Raw genomic sequence first — 22521 nt, forward strand, 5'->3', positions numbered from 1 at the left:
TCTCCACTTAACTGTAATCTCCTCAGAGACCTATTTTCCCACCCAATGGAAAGGTACAACAGTACCTGGCACATTGAACAGAGTTGGCCAAAATTTATTAAATCGATTGAAGGTTAGTGATATGGTTTGTGCTCCCATCCAAATCTCATCTTGAATTCCCACTTGTTGTGGGAGGGAGCCAGTGGGAGGTAACTGAATCATGGGGGCAGGTCTTTTCAGTGCTGTTCTCATGATAATCAATCAGTCTAACGAGATCTGATGGTTCTAAAAAATGGAGGACTCCCTGCAAAAGCTCTCTCTTTGCCTGCTGGCATCCATGTAAGACTTGCCTTGCTCCTCCTTGCTTCTGCCATGATTGTGAGGCCTCCCCAGCCATGTGGAACTGTGAGTCCAATTAAACCTCTTTCTTTTGTAAATTACACAGTCTCGGGTACATATTTATCAGCAGTGTGAAAACAGACTAATACAGTTAGCTTGAGAGAAATTTAAAAATGTTTTAATCTAGTAAAATTGGCTTCTATCACCTTTAGCGAAGGCTAATGAAATTCTCACTTTGTACCCTTTTTAAAAACTGTCATTAAAATCCTCACATATTTCTCTGTTGATTTACTGCTATGAGGTAGATGACATCATCTGGTCACTTAGCTAGTTACCAAGAAAATTCTGGAATAATTATAGGAAACGAGAAGAAGAGAACATATATCTAAAAACCCATTATGTTCTGAAATTTTGGATAGTTGAGTTCATTTATTAGACATAGTTCATTAAAACAGATATAACTACTCTGTGGGCAGCACATAGCTCCCCTGGGCCCATCCTATAGGACATCTAGAGATGGCTTGACAAGTGGTTGATGCCTTGAACAAAGAAACTAGTTTTCCTTTTCTCTACTAGAGAGCTTTGTTTGAGAATGAAACGTGTCTGAGGTAGATATTATTATTTCCTTGCACACATAAAGAAACTGAAGCTTAGGAACCAATAACATCTCTAAGGTTAAAGGGTGTGAATGTCAGCACATTAATTCAATCTCTTCAGTCACATTTTCTTCACCTTGCCAGGCTTTGCTACCTCCTGAAATAATTCCTTGATATCTTCTCTGGAATGTTCTACACACGAATAAAAAACAAAGTGTTAAAAACTTGTCATCAGTGCTCCTCTTCATATTATGTCTACTTCAGAGAGTGAAACTGTCGTTTACCTAGTGAATTACTCCCCATCTAAATAGACAGTTATTAAATCCTGTGTGCCCTGATTTCTAAGTATCCCTTGTTTTGGTAACAATTTTGCCAGGGACTTGCCTTCATTTCCTTTACCTCTACCATAGTTTAGTCTTTTATCTCTCAGATTTCAACATAGAACTAGAACTGATCCTTCACTTCTACTTTATTATCCCTTCAAATTCTACTCTCATGACTGAAATGGACCTTGCTAAAGGAAAATGTCCCTATTAATTTTTTTTTCCTTAAAATACTACTGGCAGCTTCCAATAGCCTCCAAGATAAAGTCTAAATGCCTTGGCTTAGTTTATAAAATTCTTCACTTTTAGGAGCCCAGCTTCTGCTCAGTACTACCCAACACTGAACTACTTGAAGTTTGTAGTATATTTTATAGGTTTCTAAGCATCCATTCTTTCATGCCCCACAGTCTAGATATCTCATCTTCCTGACTGATTTCCACTCTTGCAGCTATCAACTCAAATGTCATATCTTCAGGAATGTTCCTGGACTTCTACATTTGAATTAGAGATCTTTTTTCTGTCCCTCTTCACCTCTGAATACCTATTTCTCAGATTTTATATGCTGCATGGAAACAAAACAGTTAACGAGCTCTTGTGGGCAGAATGGTTCTCTTTCAGTTCAGTGCCCCAATACCCAAGCACTTAGCATAATCCCTAGTTTAGAGACTCTTAAAACATGCTAATTAAAATCATTAAAAATGTGTAAATGAAAAAGTACTTTTTCATAATTCGCAATTTTGCCTGGTTATGATCCTTAGTAGACATCTAGGAAAAGTAAACACACTGAATGAGACAATCACTCTATTTCTGCTAAGTCTAGTTATGCTTGTAGTTACCTCCTGGTTAAATTCAACTGGCTTCTAGGTGGTCTACCTGCTGCCTCATTGTTGTTCCTGCAACATTCTTCCTCAGAAATGAAGCTCCTTAAGGCCTCATGTCAGCCTTATCACAGAATCTCAGGAAAGTTGGGATTGAAGGGATAATGAGGTTACCTAGTCCAATCTTCAAAGGAGCCCATATCATCTATTTTGACAGGTGTAGTATTCAATGATAATTTATCTATCTGTAAATGTGCCATGACAAATTTTACGGAAGTAATGAAATTTTAGTAATCCAAGAAGACAGCTCCACTGTGATCTCTGCTATTGCATATGTTTTCTTGGTGATAAGGAACCTAGGGAGAAGAGATTCAAACTGCTATTTTAATAAGATTTTGAGGGGAGAGCTCCAGATTTGTGATATGATAGTAAATTGGCTGCAAGTGAAAAAAAAAGAATATATGAAATTGGTTGTTAAAAAAGAGAACCATAGTGAAAGATTTGCTAATAATTTTATGATTGAGGGTTCTGTATCACAGACTTTCTCTTCATTTAGAGACTTGTTATAATCCAAACAAAGAAAAGCTTGGCTGTTCATGCAGGAGGACGGAGTAAAAGGTAAATAACACATTTAAATAATTGAAAGTTCTCAAGAAAGGTTTTTAAAGGGAAGAAAGTCTGTAATCTTCTCTTAACACATTTCTTTCTTTGGTTCAAGACCCAGAGAGACAAATGTGATCGTTCTAGCCAATTACAGGAATATATCCTAAACTTTCCTTACCTTTACCATTCTTCTTTCTATTTTTAACTTGCCAAGTTTTCCTTCTTTCTGAATCCCATATAAAAACCATTAACTAGGGTTGTTAATACACTTGGGCAATTTCTTTTATTTTCATGAATACGAAGTTAGAAATAAAAATTACCCCCAAAACATTAAAAAGGGCATTGTAAGTTCTATAACTAAAGGACTTAAAAAAACAGTAAAAATATTTTCATCCTGATTGCAAAATATCATCCCAATTTTATTGCCATATAACCTGGAACTTACACTTAAATAAGGGGGAGACTAGAAGAAATTCTGAAAGTCAGTATAAAAAAGATTATTCTAATTACCTAATTTTCTCACAATCTGCCAACTTTACTGCCATTGTTAAAGCGCAGACTCTCATCATGTCTTATCTATCCAAATACAACGTGATAGCTCAAAAGTGCAAAAATATATGTCATGTTAAAACATATTTTGCCATAGGAATATTTTCCCAGTTTCTTGTCTTATTAGCACAATTTATATTAAATGGAAACTAATAAATGCATTTTCCAGAAAGACTCAAAGAGAATCAAGCTTGCAAATGCACACGTTAGCCCAATTCCAGAATGGTTTCCTCTCTGTGATTGCAATTGATAATTTCACTTTATTACAGACTTCAGGCAACTTCTCTCATATATATAATCTTAGATGGATTTGGTGTTTTCAGCATCTTGAAAATAAAGCTATCATGTCTGTTTATTCCTTTCTTTCAAAAGGCTAACATCAATACATGATTTGGGTGTCAAAATAAGTCCTACATGTAAAACAGAGAAAGATGAAGGAAAAGTATTCCTATGGCTAAAGAAAAAACAAATGATAACGAGTTGGTCCTATCATCTCATAAGTGAATGCAAAATGGTAGAGAACTATAAATCAGAGACGAGGGGCTTTCCCTAGAGTGGATGGCACTTTAGGACACTATATCTTATATTGGGTAAACGGTTTCAATTACCTCAATTATTAGGGTCTGTTTTAAACCTTCCCAATAATATAATACTTAAACAGATATTGAAAATATCTCTGGTTTTTATAATAGGATAAATTTCTTTGCTGTCTCTACCGAGCTGTGATCCAAAGGAAAACAATCACTCAATACTATGGAAGAAACACCATTTTTTGTTCATATTTGTTTCTTTCTTCCTGATGTATTTATTTATCAAGTAAATGAAACCAGTGAAAAACGATGTTAGACATTTCTGTGACAATGTCTTAATGCCAATTAAGGACAATGTCCTTAAATGCCAAAGACCTGGACACATACCCATGACTAGGAAAGAAGATTCTAGAAATGCCTAGTCATGCCAAGAGATGATTTAGTTGTTCTTGCTTTTCTCATTAAAACTTTCAAGGTGAATGAACATGTGCTCCTAAAAAAATCACCATTTAAAATCCTGCTTTTTTGAAACATTTTCAAAGTCAGCCCATTGATACCATCTTAACAGACACACAGCTGGAACTTTTCTCCTATAAATCTAATGACTTTTTCTTTAATACTTTACCTCCTTCAGTTCCGCCTTTCTGGACAGCACAACATACTGAGTGGTGATTTATACCAGGATACAGGCTGTTCTTGCCTTTTCTTTGTCCAGATTGTATGAAGGTCACAGTGAGCAACAATTTCTCTCATGTACTTATGTGATATTACAGAAGCCAGGGCTTCTCTCAGCTTGAGTTTATTATTTGGAGATTTGAGTCCAGACTTCTTTAGCTGCTTGATTTATTTTTTGCCTTCCCCTAAATTAAAAATACTGCTGGTGCCTATATTTCACTGTATGTTTTCATCAAGTTTTTAAGTTTTATTTGCTTTTTTAGATTGCTTCTCCTATGACATTAAGGGGAATGGAAATTGCAGTGAGTTTATCATATTAAATAAATATAATCTAAATACTAAACACAACTCCAGTCTTTATCCATTGGCTTTCTTCTATCTTTCTCTTTTAAGAAACGTGGAAGTTTGAGATTGGAAGGAAACTAAAAGTTATCAACCTCAGGTTCTATTTAATGTTGAACATCTGGAGTTCCGCTCAAACATGCCCTGCAATGCGGATCTCATTTCCCCACTAAACAACACATTCCTCTTTCCGAAGTCTCTTATTGTTAAAAGGATTAACTGTGTAGCAAAACTTAAACTGTTACTTTCATCCATTTTTTGGTACCTTTCCAGAAATATAGAACTTCTAAGTCATCTGTCCTAAAACATCCTTGAAGACAGTTCTTATATCTTCTTTCCTCTATCTGCTCCAAATACTTCCTCACCTACACCACAGGTCATTAAGCAACCCACCCAGTGGTAAAACTTTCTCTTACCAATTTGCTCTAGGTTATCAGCCTTCCTGACATATAAGCCACTAAATCCATACAGCTACATGCAGAATAGGACATAATCATATCAACATTTCATATATTCTACGTATTATATTACAATTAGTGTAATCTAAATGTAGAATTACCTTTTTTAAAAACCACATTGTATTGTAATTTCTTGCCAATTAAAATCACTAAAGTCAAATTATGTAACTTCTATCTTATGTAACCTAAGTAGGGTTCTGTACCTAAAATTAGAACAATTGATCACATTTGTTTTGATTACATTTGCTCTTGTTGGGTTTAATCTAATCTTTCTTAGAGAATCCTACCAAAGTACCAGGTCAAGGCACAGTGGGAACTCAGGTCAGGATTATAAATCAGGCTGCTGTAAAGACACATGCACACGTATGTTTACTGCGGCACATTCACAATAGCAAAGACTTGGAACCAACCCAAATGTCCAACAATGATAGACCAGATTAAGAAAATGTGGCACATATACACCATGGAATACTATGCAGTCTTAAAAAATGATGAGTTCATGTCCTTTGTAGGGACATGGATGAAACTGGAAACCATCATTCTCAGCAAACTATCACAAGCACAAAAAAACCAAACACCACGTTTTTACTCATAGGTGGGAAGTGAACAATGAGAACACATGGACACAGAAAGGGGAACATCACACAGTGGAGCCTGTTGTGGGGTGGGGGGAAGGAGAAGGAATAGCATTTGGAGATATACCTAACGTTAAATGACGAGTTACTGGGTGCAGCACACCAACATGGCACATGTATACATATGTAACTAACCTGCACGTTGTGCACATGTACCCTAAAACTTAAAGTATAATAATAAAAAAAAAGAAAACTAAAGCAAGATATAATGAAGACCGAGAAGCCTTTAAAAACAGGCAACTTGTGAATAACCCTACCTTTTACTTGCTGATGGAAAATCTGAAAAAGAAATGAAATAAAAAGAGGAAGAGAATTATTTCCCAGCCTTTAGACTAGAAAATGTGTGTGCTTTTGTGTATAGCAGAAAATAGGAAAATATAGTGTCAGGCACTATAATTTAATCAACTATGTGTTAATTATTGTATGAACCTAGAAAAAGTTAAATCCTTATCCTTATAATACTTGTTTATGAGTCAGCAGTATAATTATTAGATATAAATCCAAAATATTGTGTCACAGAATTTAGTATTTCTATGTGTTGAATATAAGATATCCTAGGAAAAGCAGGTTACGTAATCCATGCACCATTCAGAGAAAAGAGCCCGTATGTAAATTTAGGTCTTTCTGTACATTTAATCAATTTCAAAAAAGTAAAAGAATTAGCATGACTGTGTTGTTGTAAATAAATAAAGCAATGCAAATTTTCTCTTTGTGGAAGAGGTAGGGCAGAGTGGACATGGGCTCAATTATCTTACTAAACATAGAAAGTGGAAATTTTATCCCCAAAAAATTTTTTGAGTACCAATTATAGAATGTACCAGTCAGTATTCTAGTCACTAGGCTAACAAACTAACTCTTCAATGCATGGAGCTTACAATCAGAGAAATAACAGAAAAATTAAACAAATATTTACCAGATTATAAAAATAAGAAAAAGAAGAAAAAATAATGAAATGTGGATAAAGAAATTCAAGTGGATGTGGTATTCCATTTTTAAATAGGATCACACAGTAGTAATGAAATGAAACATTACAGTACTATTTGAAAGAGGAGGTAAAATGAGTCAAACAAATATCTGGATGAAGAACATTCCAGGCAAAATGAACAGCCAATGCAAAGGCTGGAACATCCCTGGGGTATTTAGGAAACTGCAAGAAAGAAATTGTGTACTGAACCTGGTGATCAAGAGGCAAAATAATAATAAGATGAGGTGAGAGAGATAACGGTGGCCCTAACTGTAGGGTCTTATAGACCTCTGAAAGACAGGCTTGTACTTTGAGTGAGGAGCGAAGGCACGGACAGACTGACAGAGAAGTGATAATTTGACTTACATTTTAAGAGGATTATTCTGGCTGCTCTATTGAGCATAGATTGTGGGGTGAGGGCAGGTGAGTGGAATCAGGGAAAGAAATGAGAAAGCAATTGCAATAATCTATGTGAGAGGCAGTGCTGTCATAAAACAGGGTAGTAGCAATAGCGCTGGTGAACAGTTGCCAAAACTCCCAAAAATATTTAGAAGACAGAATATGTATTAATATCAATTACACTGGAAAGTGTTTGAGAAAGTGAATGATGTCCATGTAGATCTTTACTCCTTTAATCTTATCCCCAAGAAAAGTTCAAATAAATCAACTTATGGAATAGTGAGATCTCCAAAAAAATTACAGAGCCAAGAATTCAGCTGTATTTTTTATAATATCAGAGAATCAATCTTTGACTAAGGTAAGAGCAAATAATGCCTCTCTACTTTTGCCCCATGTATTATTTATAATATGCTAAATATTAACCTGGTCTTATAATTATGTGATGGATAAAACTAAATCCAAAAATCTCATATAACATCACAAGTAAACATAAAAAACTTAATGATTATAAAATTGCGTATATGATTCTTAAATAACAAACTTCAGAGACTTTTTCTTCTATGGAAACCACAAGACTGAAACTTTTCCATTTTCTTCAGTTTTTTTTTTTTTCTCCTGCTGTCAGTGTGGTAAAACATATCTATTATTTCAAAATAGGAAAATATTTACTGTTGCTTTTTGGCATTAGAGACTGACACTATATGCTTGTTTTATAGTCTAAAATTAAGGAAGAGATAAGTTACAAACAATGAAATCACATTCTGTTTTCCTGAAAGTTATAAACATGTATCACCTGGTAGGCAACTTTATAAACTGGCTCACGATAATTCCCACCTGCTTAATAGTATTCACATCGTTGTAAAATCTCTTCCCTTTGAGTAAGAACTGGACCTTTGTGACTTGCTTGTAACAAAGAATAGGTCAAAAGTGATAGATATCACTTCTCTGATTAGGTTACAAAATTCTGTGGCTTCCATCTTGCTAGCATTCTCTCTTACTGGTACTCCCTTTTATGCCCTCTCCTCAGCTAGCTGATATGTTGTAAGATGCTCTCTGGAAAAGCTCAAAGAACAGGGAAGTAAGAAAGGCCTCCAGGCAACAGCTCATGAGAGACTGAGTCCTGCCAATGATGGGGATTCTTTACAGAAGAGCCTTGAGATGACTGCAGCCCTGTGAGATTGCCAGAGCCACAGGACCCAGATAAGCCACACCTAGACTCCAGACCCACATGTGAAATAATAAATCTGTATCAACTTAAACTGCTAGATTTTGGGGTAATATGTTATGCAGCGATAGGTAACTAGTACACAGTACATTTAGTCCATAAATTAAAGAATTATGAAAACAAGAGTGAATAAACACTTTTAAGTAGATCACTTAATTACTTTAATATCTTGACTTTTTAATGCCCTTCCTAAGAGAGAATGGTCAACTATAAATGAAGCAACAAAAATAGGCTTTTGAGAACAATAAACTCAAGTATATCCAGTTGAGGGAATGATTCAGTCAGAATGAGAACACAGTAAACAGCTGAAATGGAAGCTATAGCTTTCCATTTTGGTTTAATACCTATAGTTATACGATAAAAGTGTGGCAGCAACTATGAATTCATTATCATTCTACCCTGTTAATGTTTTGTGATTTTAAGACTCCTTCAACTCAGAGGAGTGTGTTAGATGCCTTTAAGAGTTTGACAAATGGATAGAAATCTTCCTATTTGCTATTCCTTCCCCTTTTATCTCTGTTTCCATCCCCCAACCGCTAAAATTTAGTCTTACACTTAAATGATATTGAACAAGAAGACTCATTCCATACTAAGAGGCTATAAAGTACTATAAGGCAGATATAATTATCTTCATATATTATAAAGTTAGGCATGGAATATAAGCAAAGTCTAATATCAATATTGAGTAAAACTATTAATGACACATTCTCTGAGAAGTGTGGTCCATCTCTAGTTACAAACAATGAAAGGATTATAAAGATGGGTTTTTCTTATGGATTTGGTTATTATGACTCAATGTAATATTCTTGCTTTACACTCAGTTACCTTAAACAATAAGTTCTTGTACAAGTTTAAAACAGAATATTATTCTCAATGCAACTAGCAACCACCCATTAACAGTGGGAAATGGGATAACTAGCTAGTTCTCGTGCCTATTTTCAATGTCTTTCACAAGATGTGTGTTAAATTGAGCTTTATTCTCCTATAGTATTTCCTCTGGCTACAATTCTCAAAATACAGAAGACTTCTTTATGCTACAGCTTATAGTTAGCTTATTTAGAAACCCAGTGCTGCTACTTGTTAGCAATGTAATGTTTGGGGAGTTACCTAATACCTTTGAACTTTAATTTTTTTATCTATAAGATGGTAATCATAAACTAGAGCACAAATGGTTTTTCTTAATGTTCATGCAAGATAATAAAAATGGGACTTACTAACTCAAATCTTAATTTAAAAGCATGAGAGTATTAATGTAATATTATGTACTGTGCCACACTACAGTGGAGGAGAAATGAGTACATGAATATTTGCTCTCTCATTTGTGGAAAGAAAAGGGATTATTATAATAAATACGTATTAAACCTAGTAGCAGACTGGTCATTTTAAAATTTGTCTTTCTGCTGATATATTATTAGGATACATCATGGAAATGTACCTTATTCTAATAAAACCAGTAACATCAAGGAAGGTAAGTTAATGTCTCACAAATAAAGAGTTAACAGTAAGTGGTCCAAATACATCGAATTAAAATAGCAGCTTGTGGTCTCTGCATTCATATCTTTAAATTCAATCTCAGAATAAATTACTGGGAGTTTTCTCATGGAGCTCACTAAGTCCTTGGCCCTGGATTACCTCTTGCCATGCACCCTAAGGAGAAGTTTCCTGTGCATTTGACTGCACAGAGATAAAAGACCAGGTAACCTTATTCAAAGTACATTTTTTTTTCCTTTAGTGAACAGGCAGTAAAGACCTCTGAGATCCTTGTATACTGCTTCTTAGATCACCCAGAATAACTATATATAGTCGAAGATGGAATTTGCTTAAGAATGGTAGCTAAGGAAAAATGACTTTAATATGAATGAATCAGGTGTCAGTCGGTGTCTGGCACTGTAGGCTCATTTGGAACATTAAAAACCCATCACTTACTGCACATAGTTTATGATAATTAAGGCCTTCCAGACTGCCCACTTGGTCCTTTAAATAACTTTCTAAACCATACTGTCCTTTATGTCGATAAGAATGCCATAAACATTTAACAAGAAATTTTAGGTAAGATCTGTTTTTCTTCAACAATTTAGTTTTAATTTTTTAAATATATGTAAAAGAATCTTATTGTTAGAGGTGACAGAATAAAGGCATTTCTATGTCACTTTCTTCCCTGAAACCTATAAAACTACAAAATGCATGAAGCTCAAATAAGGATTTTCTATCTTCACTGAAGGCATGAAAAACCAACCTGATTGCAAGCCTCAATCTATAAATAACTGCCCAAAACAGTGATCTTGGGACCAATTTGTGTCATGAGGCCTAAACTAGATCTCTATATATCTGTGTCTGTTTCTGTATGTCTGCATCTGCGCCTGTGTCTGTGTGTCTCTTTGTCTATATCTACATCTACATCTATATGCTAATATGTACCAAACTAGATGGTACACACCGAAATGTCTGTAACGCTAAATAGTTGAGGATGACTCATCATTTATTTGAGATGAGAAGCTTAATGATCTGAATGGGTTATGAAAAACTCCTTGAGCCTTATTCCACACTGCCGGGTGGCAGAAAATGAGGCCAAATGAGTCGTCAACACATATTCACAAGAACATGCTGCACATAGAAGGAGTGAAGGGGACAATCAGTGTCACAACAGCTGAGCCTGAAACACTAAATGCAAAAATCTAAGGTAATTGAAAACAAAAGCTTATGAGAGAATTACTCACTCTAGTCCAAGCTTATTTCCGTTTCACCTGAAATGCTCAAAGCAATGAGTTGATGATGGTGTACATACCTGCTCATATTTGATGGGGTAAGAAAGTATTCAGAGACATAATTCCTTCTCACGTTATTCTTCGGCAAAGAGCTTATCCAAACAGCTCTTTTGGCCCCACTAGAAAATGAGACAAAATCAGAATGGAATCTGCATCAAAACTAGAGATATTTTAACATAAAAGGAGGACAAATGAAGGGTTATCTATTAGAATAAGAGTTTGTAAGAAAAAATTAAAAATATTTTATATAAATGACATTAAGGAAATCTTAAAAAGGTGTTTGTTTAAGACAGAGTCTCACTCTGTCCCCCAGGCTGGAGTGTAGTGGCACAATCTCAGCGCACTGCAACTTCCACCTCCAGGGTTCAGGCGATTCTCATGTCTCAGCCTCCAAGTAGCTGGGATTACAAGTGTGCGCCAACATGGCTGGCTCATTTTTGTATTTTTAGCAGAGATGGGATTTTGCCATGTTGGCTTGTCTGGTCTCAAACTCCTGGCCTCAAGTGATCTGCCCACTTCAACCTCCTAAAGTGCTGGGATTATAGGCGTGAGCCAACGCTCCCGGCCAAAAAGGCCTTTTTAAGACAAAATATCAAAGAAAAGATAAAAATCAAATAAAAATAATAAAAAAGGGAGATAAATAAGCCAAGTAAATGAAAGGTCAGCAGAAAAAAAGAAAAAACAAACATGAAATTAAAAATCATCTTATAAACAGCAGGATTTATAGTAGACAGAACTGAAAACATAGAATTGGACATAGAAAAAGAGTTGAGGTAATAGAAGCAGATCAAAGCATATTCACATACCACTGGCAGCCAAGAACTTTCAAATAACTTGTCCTTGCACACTACTTTGTAACCCTAGGATAGCTCAGGTTCAGGGAGGGACTCATGAATGGCCAAGGATGAAATTACCAACACACACTGAGTTGGACACTCTCAGTCAAAGGTTGATATATCAACCTTTGATAGGATCAAAATACTTATTCACATCACATCAAAAAAGCAAATAAAATGCAACTTAATTTTCCATAGCTGATGCAATTTTCCTCACATGTTTCTCAAGCTCTTGGACAATAGCAAAACTTTATCTTATCCATTTTTCTCACTGTCTCTTCTGGTATATGCAGACTTTAAACAATCCCTTTCAGGTAAATGCTGACTCTTTCACTCTGCTGCTTCTTTCTATGTCCTCTTAAGATGCCATCTTGCTCTGCAAAAGAGCTTACTGAGTCTTTATGAAGGTAAAACAGAGGGCCTCACATTCACATTTAGATCCTTTTGCTGCCCTTTGAGTCTTTGATGTTCTCTTCAATGATGGTAGCCCTTGTCAACTTGTTACATCTTGCCCTAGGGCAGTGACACCACACACAACCCAAGTGTGAGGCCCTCAAAGTTGTGGCTAATACATCTTAGTCCCAGAAAAGTTAAAGTTTCTGCCTTGTGTCCTGCCTATACCTTAAAGAGTTCCACTCTGGACCTATTCTAACTGCATCTCTCTCCTGGGCTGAGGAGTCCATTGAGTGATGGAGGCATGAGCCTGTGTGCTCACCTTCTAAAACATAGTATAAGTATACTGGATCTCAGAATTCCATGACCAAATGGGCCCTGAGACCATTTCCAAGCACAAGTCTCTTCGCCTGGTCCATCCTTCTAGGGGCAGAGTCTGTAGCACTTATGTACAGACCTGGGCCGACAAACTTTAAAGTGGCCACATGATCAATGCTTTCTGGTGTTCACACCTTGTATAATCCCCAACACTCTCCCCTTGACTGTAAGAGGAACCTGTGACTAATTCTAACCAAAAGAGTATGACAAAGGCAATGAGATGTCACTATATGATTACCTTATGCTATATGACAAAAGTGGTGGTATATCACTGTCATGATTTAATTAGGTTAGATTGGAGTGATTGGACATTGCTACCTGACTCATAAGAAAGCCTTATTCTCCTTATTGCCTTCTAGAAAACAAACTATGAATCCTATACCCTCCAGAAAATGAATTCTCTCAACACACTGAGGGGCTTGGAAGCGAATCCTTCCCCATTTATGCCTGAAGATGAAGATGCTGCTGACACCTTAATTGCCATGATGGTAAACTCCTACTCAGGGCACCCGGCTAAACTGTGCCTTGATTACTAACAAGGAAATATTTTGTTGATTTTAGTTGAATTCTTTTTTCATTTGGTTGCTAAAAGAAACTGTGGGTATAGTTTGTGGTATTTTTTTGTGCAACGTAGAAGACTATTACAGCATCCCTAGGCCAAAGAGGTGGCCAGGGAGAGGGTTGTTGGGAGAACCAAATGCAGTTTGGATGTGTAGTACATAGGTAAGACCATTGTTTTTCTATCAAGAAAGTCAGCTGTGAAATACTGAAAAATGATCATTTTGCTGTAGGAGGAACTCTGCGTTACTGGGGCTATAAACCTTATAGCTAAACTTTGAAGGCAAAAGGCTAAAAGGATACATTAAGGGGAACTAAACATACTGATTTACTAGCAACCAAATGAAAAAAGAATTCAACTAAAATCAACAAAATATTTTCTTGTGACTTTAATAGAAAACTTTTTAAAATCTAAGTTTGTATGCTGAGTGTAGTTTGCTAGATGTAATCATAACTCATGATCTTAGCTAGCATTCCACCAACTGGTACAATTTTGAAAGTGCTACATAGATAAATAACTTTGGAAAATGTCACGTTAGATTACCATGAAAGCAAAAATATCCTGAGGCTGTCTGTACAACAATCACTATAAAACATGTCTACCTACTGCAAAAAGGAAATCAAAGTTAGATCAATTGGTCTAAATATAAACATATGTAAACATCTAGCAAAACCAGGAGTTTTAACTGAAGTTGCGAGGTAAAGTGAAGAGGAGAATCCGAAGTTATTGTGGCTTCTTCTCTTATTTCAAATAGTAGTAGACAAGGAAACAGGAGAGGAAAAAGAAAGAGGCGGACATGAAGGTTAGTGCAAGGAGGTCATTTGTGTAAATAGTTGGGAAATTTAGTTTTGAGGATAAGCTGTGTTTATTTCAAGTGTCACAGAAATCTAGACATGGCTGGTGGCCTAGTGAGGTAGAATGCATAAGGAGCTTTTTTATTGAAGGAACAACATGCCTCCTTGGACAGCCCAGAAAGAGAACCTAGCACATAGGTGTTGTCCAACCAAAATGCCCGAGATGTTTGTAAATGTCCAGTTAAAAAAAAGAAACCTCCAAGTGCTGTTGCCAAGTGACAGACTAAATCTGAATAAATCTGGAGGGAAACTGGGTGGTTAGCAAAGAAAGCCTGTGAGAAGCCAAAAGGTGAATCAGCATCTTCTAAGTTTTGCAGAGAACACAGGACACGTGGTTTCACCAGCCATGCCCCAGTAGAGCGGCGAGTAGAACATCTGGTGGCAACACAGGTCTTTACCAGGAGAACAGGGTAAGAAAGTGCAGAGACTAATTTGTGAGCAACAGAAGAAATGTCCAAATTCTTCACCCAGCTTCAATGGGAGTGACTGAAGCGTGCAGACTCTGGGTGGCTGGGGTAAGCTGAGATGTGTTTGTCCACACAGGTGAAACACCACATATGGACTACAAAAGATAAGTGAAATGGACTTAAAGGGAGCTAGAAGCACAGAAATTCAGGCTAGCAAAAAAAAAAAAAAAAAAAAAAAAAAACAGAAAAATAAGGAACATGACTCAGAATATGTCCCTATTTTGTATGCCCAAGATTAATGTGTCCCAGGAGCGGGGTTAAATGGTCAAATGTGAGTCTTATTTAAAATCTGGCTTATAAATCAAAGTTAATTTTTACTTCAAAAATCCAATTACTTTTTCATTTGTTAGAATTTTATATATAGGGCAATGCCATGTGTGTAAAGACATTATGTGTGTGTGTGTGTCTGTGTGTGTGTGTGTGTGTGTGTATTTGTTTATGCATAAAGTATCTCTGGAAAGAAACTTGAGCTGGTAACAATGATTGCTTCTGGGGAAGGAAACTGGGAAGTGGTTTAAGAAGGGAAAGTTGACTTATTTTTAACTTTGTACACAATTATGTCTTTTGAACATTTTTACCATGCACATATTTCCTATTCATAAAATTCATAAAATTTAATTATGAACAAAATAGAGCTGTCAGTGTGTTAATGACTTTTTCACAAACTAAAAATATTTTATATATATATGTCAATAAATGAGAGAGCAGCTAATCCTTGTCTTTTATTTATTTATTTATTTATTTATTTTTAAATAGGAGTAAAGATGAGGTTACATGGGTAAACCTATTGTTTCAGAGTAGACAACAGTGTGATTATAAAGATCCCATCTGGGCACAGTGGCTCATGCCTGTAATCCCAGCATTTTGGGAGGCTGAGACGGGCAGATCATCTGAGTTCAGGAGTTCGAGACCAGCCTGGCCAACGTGGTGAAACCCCGTGTATACTAAAAATACAAAAATTAGCCAGGCATGGTAGCAGGCGCCTGTAATCCCAGCTACTCTGGTGGCTGAGACAGGAGAATCACTAGAACCCAGAAGGCAGAGGCTGCAGTGCGCCAAGATTGTGCCACTGCACTCCAGCCTGGGCGACAAGAGTGAAACTGTCTCAAAAAAAAAACAAAAAGATTCCAAAAGTCTTACCAGCCAAAATCCATTTCTCCCTTTAGCCTTCCTGGATCACCATAAAAATGATTTGATTATGGGATGATAACTTTTTAATGTCTCATTTTTATTTTTCCCTACCTTCTAGGAAACTCAGGTGGGCAATGCTAACTTGCAGTCTCTGGTACAAGTAATTTTCTATTTCTTCTATACAAATTCTTATCTCTTTTTATCTTTCAGTTCAGAGTGGCTATTTTATGTAGTGGTTTTTATTAGTCATCACCTTGAATATGCTCTGGTGGTAGAGACTGCTTAAATTTTAAGAAGTAAAACCAAGTAAAATAATGGATTGGACAACGCATTCCAAGACAATATTTTCAAAAACTTAAATTTTAAGAAGTAAAACCAAGTAAAATAATGGATTGGACAACGCATTCCAAGACAGTATTTTCAAAAACTCTTAGCTAAAATTATATGTATTAAGCTCCCTAGAGTTCATATGGCAATGCGTATAAATTCCCTTTACAAAAATAGTATTTAGTCCTCAGTAATCTGTCTTCAGTTACTAGAGAAAAACATGCCTTGTTGGTCAGTCTTAAAAGAAAGCTAATGACTTCCTGGGCAGGATAAATATAACAGGCACATTTTGAATACATACTGAGAGCTGGCTTACTTTATAAGTTTGCTCACCTGGGAAGTTATAAACCTAAATTGTCCTTCAAGCATTTTCGAGAGACATTGAACCAGGCCTAAGCACTCAGCAGCATAGGCAAAGGGAGTTTGTATTGGGACTTTTCAAGGTTTGATCTACCTTGTCTTACGTGGTTCTCAACTAACGGTGCTTTTGCCACACCACCCCTACTCAAGAGACATTTGGTAATTTCTGGATATATTTGTGGTTGTCACAACGTGGGGTGGAGGGTGAAACTGACATTTATTAGGTAAGGGCCAGGATTACTGCTAAACAACCTACAATGTATAGACTAGCCTCACAACAAAAGATTGTTCATTTCAAAATGTCAGTAAAAGCCAGGTTGAGAAATCCTGGTCTAGATCTATTCTTCTCTTGGGTTTTGCTGCCTCTCTAGGTGTTGTGCAAGACAATAGGGCACACCTTTCTCTCTTTGCTTTGCTTGATAGTAAGGAGAAAGTGGAGAGCCAAGAGTGGAAACACTTCTCACGTTCGGCCTGCTTTGGGCTACAATGCCGATATATCAATGCTCAGGAAAACTTTCACACTCTGAGGCTGAGGTATTGAAATCAACAAAATAGTTCTCTGCATGTTATTCTACCAGATTCCTTCCCTCAGGTAAGAGCTTACAGCATGCCATTTGCTTGAATAGAGGAGAAGAATAGGGCAAAATGCAGGCGGGTAAAATAATGGATTAATATTGTTAACAAAATATTATTTCACCCCTCCAGTATGACAGAAATGTTACAAGGATTCAGGGAGAGAATGTGTGGAGCATCTGGTTTCTTCTGGCATATAAAGAGTCTAAAGAAAAGGTGAGAACAGAATACATGTAAGACAAAGGTGCTACTTTGGATGGCAGAATTAGGTGATTATGAAGTCATTGGATGAAATTTGGAAAGCTCAAAAAATCTAGATAATTAAATTCATGGTTCTACTTCAAACCAATGTTTTGTTTTTGGCATTTTCTACTTACTCAAATATTTCTTTTAATTAGGGGAGGGAGTAGTATTAAGAGTCATCTTTTTTCTTTTTTCTACCTAGTATTTTCCTAGGGCTCCTAATGAATACAAAATTTTTAAGGAATTGAAAAGTAGATATATGGGGTTGGCTAATTTCCATATCTGCTAAAGTATTCTCTGAATGTGTAACACCTTAGAAATATACATCATGTTTCCAAAGACAAGGTTAAAAATAGACACGAAACAGAACACACACAGATGTTGAAATTCTAAAATATTAGCAGTACACTTTCACTAATCTTCACGTACCTCACCTCTGAATTTTTCGTTAAAAATGATAGACAAATATTTAAGAACACTTTGATATTTCTTTTTAAAACAATGCATATCTAATAATTGCATGTAATGATATACAATCAATTTTTTATTGCTATGTGTTGGAAAACGATATTCATTGATATGATAAACATACACTAGATGCTTCCTTATCATTAGATAAGGAAAGGACAAATAAATTTTTTTTATTTTAACACTTTCTTCTTCTAAGGAAGACTGTAGCAAGAAAATATATTCTAGATACAGGTATAAACAGAGATCATTATTCATGTAGAAAGACGAAGAAATACGAAGGATTACGGTACTTACAAAAACTTTATTGTAATGTTCTTTAACTCACACAGACACTAGTAAGCTAGTAGTGTGGTAACCTAGTGGATCTGGCATAATTACCTTTCCAGAAAACTATTGAGAGATGACAACTTGCTAGCAGCCTTCGCTCGCTCTCCGCGCCTCCTCGGCCTCGGCGTCTCGGGTCGCGCTGGAGGAGCCCTTCACCCTGCCGCTGCGCTGTGGCGGCCGCTCTCTGGGGCTGGCCGAGGCGGGAGCCGGCTCCCTCTGCTGGCGGGGAGGTGTGGAGGCGCAGACGGGAACCGGGGTGGCGCGCGGCCCTCGCAGGCCTGCGGAGGTTCCAGGTGGGCGCGGACTCGGCGGGCCCCGCCCTCGGTGCAGCCGGTCGGCGCCTGCAGGGCTTGATCGGGGGACGAGCACCCTCTGGGATGCCAGAGTGCCCGGGATAGGTGCTGCAAAGTCCTGGGGCGAGTGCCAGTGAGAGGTGAAGCAGGCTGGGCTTCTGGGAAGGGTGGGGACTTGAACTTTTCCGTCTAGCTAAAGGATTGTAAACGCACCAATCAGCTCTCTGTCAAAATGGACCAATCAGCTCTCTGTAAAATGGACCAATCTGCTCTCTGTAAAGTGGACCAATCAGCTCTCTGTAAAGTGGACCAATCAGCAGGATGTGGGTGGGGCCAGATAAGGCAATAAAAGCAGGCCACCCAAGGCAGTTTTCAAGTTTTTCCTACTCAATGCCTAAGGAAAAACAAAATAAACAAAATCTGGAAAATAAAACAAAATAGGATTTTCTTTTATTTTAAGAGGGGACTTTTAAGACATGGGTTTTTCCAAAAAAAACTTTTCCCTGGAGGTTTCAAATATTCACTATTTAGTCTGAAATTATGAAGATAAGAAAAGAACTAACAAAGCATACAAAAAATGTCAATTAATAATACTTTGCTCATGTCAAAGTGTGGTAAGGATTTTAAAAGCAGCTATGTGCTTGACTATTTGTAGCAAGGGCATGGCAAGAAGCTAACTACTGAGAGGCTATGTAGGGACAAGTTTCCTATACTTATATATTTTTTTCCTGACCCCATAGTGTAGGGACATAATAAAAATCTAAAGATGCTCAATTTTCATGATCTTTTGGAGCAGTGTTTTCTTCCTGCTTTCTGAAATAGATCCTTCTAGGTACTTTTTAAAATATCCTTTGCAGTAGGTCTTAATTACTGGACTTTCTCAAATGTGAGCTAGATTCTCATCTCTTTGTAAGCAACACTGTTTCTCAAAAAGACCTCAATGATCGTATTTTTTTTAACATCCAAATATACACAACTCCCAAATTCAGATTTGAAGCTCAGATCTCAAGCTTCCCTAGATCTTGTATATCCAACTGTTATGCTTCTGATAATGGTACTTGGGCTTGCAATTCCTCAAGCAAATGCCAGATGATGGTGATAATGTTGTTTGTTTGCATAAACTGTAGGTAAAATACCTTGTTTCCTCTCTATAATGAAATATGTCAGCAATTTAACAAAATCTAGGAAATTTGGTTTTATATTTCAAATAATGAAATCATATTAGTGATGGTGTTCAGGACATACTGTCTCAAAATATGGCACCTTGGCATACGGCATATTGAATTTGAGAAAATGGCAGAAGCAGGAAGGTCTCAGACCTTCCCCGACACTTTCCCTTGAAGCAGGTTATAAAACCTAGAAAGGATTTTCTGACCTTTTCCCAAAGCAAGTCATGAGACCCGCATATGAGAGGTGTCCTTGCTGTACTCAGAAAAAAAAAAGGAGCATCCTTAGCTCCAAAGAACACAGAGGAAACTGAACCAACCGGCCTTGCTAAGTTTCCCCCAGTATACCACATTTAGTTCATACTCTGTCCTATGGTATTTATTCACAACTGTTCACTCTTCATCAAACCTATTGTTTAAAAAATACCCAGGTTTAACTATTTCATTGGGTCTTCATTTTTTTGGAGCTTCCCATATATGTAAAATGTATATTAAATAAACTACGCTTTTCGCTTGTTAGTTTGTCTTTTGTCACAGAGGCCTCAGCCATGAACTTAGAAGGGCAGAAGGAAAAAACATCTTTCCTCCTCTCCATTTGGTTTTTATAAGAGATAATGAAAGGAACACTTATAGGAGAAAGACATGAAAATTCAGCGGCCTAGGCTTACAGCGCCTCCCTCTAAATAACCCAATGACTTACATAACAGCTATTTATCTCTGTCAGTACGTTTAGAGACTTATAGAAACCATCAGATATCAGAATTCAGTGCAAAAGTAGAAGCGTCAGGTTTTTCTGTAACTCCTACGCTTGCAGTTTACTCTCCCCATAGACTTGTAATGTTTATCTTTATAATGATAAGGAAAAAACATCACTTTCTGTTATGGCTTTATGCCTATTTTATGTAGTACAGAATAAACCTAATAAAATGATGTTGGGATTGTTCCATAAGGCATTCTAAAACTTCTTCTTCCTAGTAGTTGAATTAGAGTTTTTAGTCATTAATAAGACACATGGCATCATAAAAACACAAAATCTGAAATAAAAAGAAAGATGTTTTGTCCAGGATTCAGAAAAATATTTTGTCTCCATTTTGCCATATGCTTCATGAGATCTTGTACTAAGCTTTTCTCACTTACTGCTGACTTCTGGGCACCATGGTACCATACCTGGCAGCTAGCACAGTAGCTAAGAATAAGTAGGTGCTTTGTTGACTAAATAATTAGATTTTGGAAATTTTACTTTCTATCAAAATACCACAAATTACTCTTCCATAAAAATGGAAACATTTTCTTAGATCGAATCATTAATATGAAGATCAAAGGAGATATGTATTATTTTCATGGTCTGCAAACCCTTAGTGTCATGCCAAATTCTTTGATGTTATTCTTTTTGTTACTAACTAAAGTAACTGGATTCAACAACAACAACAACAATACAAAATGCTAGAGCTAAAAACTTTGTAACTAACTATGTCTTCTATCTTGTACACCCCCCACTGCCCTCCCTGCTTAGGCGCATAACAGCTTTGAATGATCTGAGCTACCTACGTTCTGCTTTATTTTGCCTCTGCTCCTGAGCATGGACAAAAAGAATCAAACAGCTTATTTAATGAACGTCACTATAAATTCCTGGTTAGTTTGCAATAATACCTCTAAAATCTCTATTGCTTAAAGCAAAGCACATTTCTTCTTCACACTTTAGGTTCATTGGTGTGGGTTCTTTTCCATGTCAAACTCAAGACACAGCAGCCACTGTTTGGAGCATTTGTCAGTTGTTGTGACGGGAGAAGAGAGGTTTGGAGGGTTTTCACTGGACATTTAAATCCTCTTTCTAGAAGTGGCACTCAGACACTCAATAAATTCATTGTCTGGAAACAGTTACATGGGGAATAAGAAGTGAAAGTCTGCCATGGGCTCAGAGGGAGAAGAACTCTGGGGAAATACAGGATGAAGAATGCTAATAGCTACCGCACCCTGGATCTTCAGAGAATCCCTCAAATCCTACTTGTCCTTAATCTTTTCTCTTTGACTTCTGTTTCCCACAAAAGCAATTTCCAACTTTCTCACTTGTTTTCAAACTTCCAGTTTACCAACTATCATCCAGTTTCTTAAGATGTCTGTCCACTAGTTCATGGAAAACTGGAAACTATCAATACCCACAAGGTGGTAAGCTCTGTGAGAACAGGAATCATACCTGTCTCCTTTGCAATTATCCTTTCTGCCTACCATGGTAGCTGTTGTTAAGTAAATATTTATTGAAGGGTTTTTAATTATTACATAAATCTGGACTCTTCTGTCTAGGTTTCAATGATCATTTTTCAATTATTATGTAAATCTCTGGTAGGCTAATCAATGGCCCATCAAGAGATATCCAAGTCTGAATGCTTGCACCTTTTAAATGTTAACTTACTTGAACTAAAGAGGTCTTTGCAGATGTGATTAAGGATCTTGAGATGAGAAAACTTCCCTGAAAAATGTAACCATACACATCTTTATTATATGGAAACAAAGGGATATTGACACACATAAACACAGAAGAGAATGTGAGAAGAAGATGAAGAAGAGAGAGATGTGAAGATGCTGGCCTTGAGGATTGAACTGTTGTGGCACCTTGGTGCCAGCCAAGGAATGCTGGCACCCATCCAAACCTAGAAGAGGCAAGGAATAGACTCTTCCCTGGAGCCTCAGGAAGGAGCTTGGCCCTGCTGACACCTCAATTCCTCCACCAAGTGATAATGATTTTTAACCTCTGACCTTCAAAAGTATAATAGAATGCAATATGTGTTGCTTTAAGCCATGAATTTTGTGATAATTTGTTATAGGAAACTAATATACATTGCATAGATTTAACATTTTTTTTTTCTAGAATTTGTGCACTGAGCAAAGAAAAAAATTCCTATACTTGAAAATGTTTAATACTAACCTGGAAGTAAAAAATGTGTT

The 22521-nt window shown here is 36.7% G+C and overlaps 1 long non-coding RNA gene across 2 annotated transcripts in view; it reads right to left on the reverse strand.

Annotated features, from left to right (window-relative positions):
* LOC105377171 (uncharacterized) overlaps positions 1 to 18286 on the reverse strand; it is a 183241-nt gene extending 164955 nt beyond the window's left edge. For both annotated transcript variants that reach the window (XR_940978.4, XR_940977.4), the window contains exons 1-2: positions 18171 to 18286; positions 11221 to 11319 (exon numbers count right to left, since the gene is read on the reverse strand). This is a non-coding gene — a long non-coding RNA (uncharacterized LOC105377171). The remainder of the gene's footprint in view (positions 1 to 11220; positions 11320 to 18170) is intronic.
* Positions 18287 to 22521: the final 4235 nt, after the last annotated feature.

Source organism: Homo sapiens, chromosome 3 (genome assembly GCF_000001405.40).
Source record: "Homo sapiens chromosome 3, GRCh38.p14 Primary Assembly".
In the NCBI taxonomy this organism is placed as follows: domain Eukaryota; kingdom Metazoa; phylum Chordata; class Mammalia; order Primates; family Hominidae; genus Homo; species Homo sapiens.